This window comes from Homo sapiens, chromosome 11 (genome assembly GCF_000001405.40).
Source record: "Homo sapiens chromosome 11, GRCh38.p14 Primary Assembly".
Lineage (NCBI taxonomy): Eukaryota > Metazoa > Chordata > Mammalia > Primates > Hominidae > Homo > Homo sapiens.
This window is the reverse complement of record NC_000011.10, coordinates 65,416,735-65,420,788: the sequence shown is the minus strand read 5'-3', so window position 1 is coordinate 65,420,788 and position 4,054 is coordinate 65,416,735. Positions and strand designations below refer to the sequence as shown.

Below are 4,054 nucleotides of genomic sequence, written 5' to 3'. Positions count from 1 at the left end.
TACAAAAAATGAAAGAAAAAAAAAAAAAAAAGCCAGGTGCACATGACTGCCTGTAGTCTCAGCTACTGGGGAGACTGAGGCAGCAGGATCCCTTGAGCCTAGGATTTTGAGGCTGCAGTGAGCTATGATTGTGCCACTGCACTCCAGGCTGGCCAACAAGAGTGAGACCCTTTCTAATACATATATATATATAGATTTTTTTTTAAGTAGGGACAATTACTGACATACAAAACATAGGATTCTGTAAAGCATAGGCTTCCCTGTCACAAAGGGAACCAAGTCTCCTTTGTGCCCTTGTATCTGGAGCTGCCTTTGCCACCCTGGGTTTTCAAGGACAAAAGGGCACTGTTTCAGAGGGTCCTTATGTAGAAGCTTTGCTGGCCTCCAAGTTCCACACAGCTCGTTTTTCTCGGGAAAGGAATGTATTTAAGGAGAGATGAGCTGAGGGTAGACAACCACATGGATATCTCTGTCCTGCCTTAAGGGGCCAAAGCTGTGCCCACAGTAAGGAGGGTACACATTGGGCCTGGGTTCTGCTCTCTTCCTCTACAAATAAGTCTAAAAATACCTCTGCCCAGCTGGAGGGTGAGAGCAGGAAGGCCGGTGTCAGCAGATTTCTCTAGATCAAAACAAGTTGTTCCAGAAAACAGCAGCAAACAGAGGCCCTTGGATTCCGGGGTGGAGCTGGGTGGTGAAGGGCCCGCCCTGCCTGTGTGGGTGGCCAACTCCTGCTTCTTCCCAGGCAGACAGAGGAACAGGAGGGGGCTGCTTTGGCAACATCTGGATTCCAGGGTTAGGGCCCTGTCTCCAAGCCCTTTCTTTCTTTTCTTTTTTTTTTTGATGGAGTCTCACTCTGTTGCCCAGGCTGGAGTGCAGTGGTGTGATCTCTGCTCACTGCACCCTCCCTCCTGGGTTCAAGTGATTTTCCTGCCTCAGCCTCCCGAGTAGCTGGGACTATAGGCTTACACCACCACATTGGCTAATTTTTTTTTTTTTTTTTTGTATTTTTAGTAGAGACAGGGTTTTACCACATTGGCCAGGCTGGTCTCCAACTCCTGACCTCAAGTGATCCACCTGCCTTGACCTCCCAAAGTGCTGCGATTACAGGGGTAGCCACCGCGCCTGGCCCCTGTCTCCAAGCCCTTTCTTGCGGCTATTGCCAATCAGGGTCACTGGTCTCCCGGGTGCCTGGAGCCCCACATCTTGTTCTGAAGCCAGGTCAGCTCTGTGGTTTCCAAACATATAGACAGACCAGTCCCAGGAAGTACCCGGGATTTCCCACAGGAGCCCCTGGAAAAGGGGAGCAGAAGCCGGGTAAGAAAGGGTGGTTCTTCAGGCTTATACCAAGGGCAGGACAATGACAGTGTTGCTACTACTGCTTGAGAATGTGCAGGGCCCCAGCCCTCCATTCTCCACGGGTCTAGTTCTGGAGCTGTGGCCTCCAGGGCCATTTTGGGCTCCCCGCTCACCAGAGATCTGAGGCCTAGGCCCTTTCTGAGCCCTGAGGCCCCTCAGCTCAGGGCCTGGGTCTGGAAACTGCACTGTCACTGTGTGCTGGCCGGGAGCCCGCCTTTCACGCCTCGCAGCCAGTGCAGGAAACACAAGCTGGGCCCCACCCCCAACTCTAACCGGCCTCTTCCTGTGAGGCTCCGGCCTGCTCTGCCCCCACCTCTCATGTGACCAGGGTAGGCCACCCCTCCCAGCCTTGCTTCCCCCATTTTGAGGCTCCTCTCGGCCCTAACATCTCTTGATTCTGACAGTGTAGTGTTTCCTGGAACACTCTTCACCTAGTTGCTGCCTAGTCCACTTCCACTGCTCCTTCAGGCCTCTGCCCTAAGGTCACCACTCAGCCAGCCTCCTGACCACAACTCTAAAGCGCCGCCCCAACTTGATCTCCTCGAGGGAGGGGTTTCGGTCTGTTTTGCCCGGGATTGCTGTGCCCTGGCACGTGACTCTGCACTTTGTTTTGTAAAGGTCACTGAGCACCCTGAGGCTCTGGGTAAATATTTGTGGACTGACTGAGGAAGGGAGTTCCCAGGTCAGCTGCAGCCCCATAAATGTGATGACAGGCCCAGCTCTGTGGGGTCCCAGGTCAGGAGGCAGGAGAGGGAAGAAGGACAGCGGCTGCTCTCAGTGGACTGGGACTGCCTGGGGTGGCCAAGGGGAACTGGGGTGCACTCTCAGCCACACGTTGGCAAAGGCATTTGAGGGAGAGGGCATCAGAGGGAGGGGGTCTCCCATGGCCCTGGTTTACAAAGCTGAGGTGAGGTGAGGTGAGCATGCCCCAGGGCTGCTGCACCTACAGGAGCCGACTGTCCCAACCCCAGCCCCACGGGCCCTTCCTCCTTCCCAACTGTCCTGGGCCCTCCCTCAGCACCTCCCATTCCCCCCCCACCCCCAAACATACTGAGCCCTCCGGCTATTTTTAACACTTTGACCTAATGTGGGCTGGTCCACCACATGTGCTGGAAAGCAGGCCGCCCACCAGGAAGGCGAGGCAGGGGAGGACCCTCAGGAGGGGGCTTCTCACTCTTGCATTTGACCCGTCACCTCGGGCTGCGTGGGGTCTGTGCACGCCCTTTCCTCACTACTGCCAAGGCAGATCTAAGGGGGGCTTCCTCTGCCCAGGGCCAAGCCCCAGGCCTCGGGCTGTGCTTTACAGGAAAGAACTTTGCGGTGTCAGCCCCCTGCATCCGGATGTCCTGGGACTGTCCCCTGTTCCGTGCCATGCTAGAGTGCCTGGGCACCTGCCCCTTACCCCAGGCCTTGGTCCCCCGTCCTCCTGAGCACTCACCCACTCCTTGGAGCCTTGCCTGAGCTGGCACCCTAGAACACCCTGTCCTCCTTGCCTCCTCCTGCCTCTTCACCAGCTCACTGCTACCTCTGTCTCCTGTAGCCCCATCCTGTCACAGAGCTCACGAGACCTTCCTGTTCCCACCCTGCCACGCTGAGCGCCTGTGTCCTCACTCCTGTTCCCGCAGAGAGAAGGCCTGTGGAATGCGTGGCTGGGCCCCATAGCCCTGCCTCCCCGGGCTGCCCTGCACCTCCAGCGGCCCCTAGACCTCCTCCAACCCTCCCCACCCTCCTTGGCCAAATAAGCGAGCCCAGCTTTCCTAGGCCCCACACTTTCGCCTGTGCTAACCTTTCCAGCCTCCTCCCCAAGCCCACCCACTGGGAATCCTGGCGCCAGCTCCTCTGAGCAGGGAGCCCAGGTGCTGACATCCCACTACCTCCACCCCTAGGTTTGCAAAGCCCTCTGTCTTCAGGACCGCCAGCCGCCCCCACTGCCAGAGCCTACCACTTCCTCTTGGGTCCCTGCTGATGGGAATGGCCTGCACTGTGCTTGTCCCGGTGGCCCCATCACAGCACCAGTTGTGACTGTCCTTGAATCTCTGAAGGAGCCTTTTCTGCCCCAACCCACCTTGGTCTGACTGAGTGCCCTCTGTGAGCAAGTTGGCCATGGTGCCAGGGCTTCTGCGGGGAGTAGAACCCCCCTGCCCGGGAGGCTGCTGACCTTGACGATACTGTATGGGAGGCCTGTGCTCTCGCTGGCTGGGAGAACTTGTCAGGGTCACTGCCACCCCCACAACAAAGTGCCAAGGTCAGATGGGCACCGGACAAAGAAGTCCTTGGGAAGAGCTGGGACTATTATTCTCTCTTTTGCAAATTATGTCAAATAGTTAAAAATAGCAGGAAGACTTAGTGTGTGAGGTGGGGACAGGAGGTGCTGGAAGAGGGCTCAGGGCAGCTGGGAAGGAGGAAGGGCCCAGGGGCAGAGGCCGGACAGTCAACTGCCTCAGGAGGGAGGCGACTAGTGCCAGGTTGTGCTCACTCCACCTCTTAGATGTCTCCAAATAGCCCCAGTTTAAGTATTTTTACTAAGCTGTCATTTCACAGAAAAGCACACATCTACAGCAGAATCCGTTTCCAGGACATGGATCCTGACCTTTGGAAAACTCAGGACCCATCACGAAGCTGAGGAATGCCCCCGCCCACCACCAGGGAAACAAACCCCTTACCCTGTGTTCTTGAAAGTTGGGGACCCCCATCATGG

General features: G+C 56.6%; 12 annotated features.

Annotated features, from left to right (window-relative positions):
- Positions 446-495: an enhancer, noted in NCBI's record as "active region_4962". NCBI's record gives its function as "activates an Ori minimal core promoter by ATAC-STARR-seq in GM12878 lymphoblastoid cells {active_cell/tissue: GM12878}" and the evidence as "EXISTENCE:reporter gene assay evidence [ECO:0000049][PMID:35858748]".
- Positions 446-1,033: a biological region, named in NCBI's record as "H3K27ac-H3K4me1 hESC enhancer GRCh37_chr11:65187227-65187812".
- Positions 448-1,033: an enhancer, noted in NCBI's record as "H3K27ac-H3K4me1 hESC enhancer chr11:65187227-65187812 (GRCh37/hg19 assembly coordinates)". NCBI's record gives its function as "activates a minimal SCP1, AML or CMV promoter by ChIP-STARR-seq in naive H9 embryonic stem cells {active_cell/tissue: H9 hESC(naive)}" and the evidence as "EXISTENCE:reporter gene assay evidence [ECO:0000049][PMID:30033119]".
- Positions 1,293-2,667: a transcriptional cis regulatory region, noted in NCBI's record as "candidate enhancer chr11.3233 targeted for multiplex CRISPR interference". NCBI's record gives its function as "positively regulates ATG2A gene expression with high confidence in K562 cells {active_cell/tissue: K562}" and the evidence as "EXISTENCE:mutant phenotype evidence [ECO:0000015][PMID:30612741]".
- Positions 1,293-2,789: a biological region, named in NCBI's record as "CRISPRi-validated cis-regulatory element chr11.3233". NCBI's record gives its function as "regulatory_interactions: ATG2A".
- Positions 1,446-1,575: an enhancer, noted in NCBI's record as "active region_4961". NCBI's record gives its function as "activates an Ori minimal core promoter by ATAC-STARR-seq in GM12878 lymphoblastoid cells {active_cell/tissue: GM12878}" and the evidence as "EXISTENCE:reporter gene assay evidence [ECO:0000049][PMID:35858748]".
- Positions 1,606-1,975: an enhancer, noted in NCBI's record as "active region_4960". NCBI's record gives its function as "activates an Ori minimal core promoter by ATAC-STARR-seq in GM12878 lymphoblastoid cells {active_cell/tissue: GM12878}" and the evidence as "EXISTENCE:reporter gene assay evidence [ECO:0000049][PMID:35858748]".
- Positions 1,618-2,203: an enhancer, noted in NCBI's record as "H3K27ac-H3K4me1 hESC enhancer chr11:65186057-65186642 (GRCh37/hg19 assembly coordinates)". NCBI's record gives its function as "activates a minimal SCP1, AML or CMV promoter by ChIP-STARR-seq in naive H9 embryonic stem cells {active_cell/tissue: H9 hESC(naive)}" and the evidence as "EXISTENCE:reporter gene assay evidence [ECO:0000049][PMID:30033119]".
- Positions 2,076-2,125: an enhancer, noted in NCBI's record as "active region_4959". NCBI's record gives its function as "activates an Ori minimal core promoter by ATAC-STARR-seq in GM12878 lymphoblastoid cells {active_cell/tissue: GM12878}" and the evidence as "EXISTENCE:reporter gene assay evidence [ECO:0000049][PMID:35858748]".
- Positions 2,204-2,789: an enhancer, noted in NCBI's record as "H3K27ac-H3K4me1 hESC enhancer chr11:65185471-65186056 (GRCh37/hg19 assembly coordinates)". NCBI's record gives its function as "activates a minimal SCP1, AML or CMV promoter by ChIP-STARR-seq in naive H9 embryonic stem cells {active_cell/tissue: H9 hESC(naive)}" and the evidence as "EXISTENCE:reporter gene assay evidence [ECO:0000049][PMID:30033119]".
- Positions 2,406-2,455: a silencer, noted in NCBI's record as "silent region_3523". NCBI's record gives its function as "represses an Ori minimal core promoter by ATAC-STARR-seq in GM12878 lymphoblastoid cells {active_cell/tissue: GM12878}" and the evidence as "EXISTENCE:reporter gene assay evidence [ECO:0000049][PMID:35858748]".
- Positions 3,356-3,405: an enhancer, noted in NCBI's record as "active region_4958". NCBI's record gives its function as "activates an Ori minimal core promoter by ATAC-STARR-seq in GM12878 lymphoblastoid cells {active_cell/tissue: GM12878}" and the evidence as "EXISTENCE:reporter gene assay evidence [ECO:0000049][PMID:35858748]".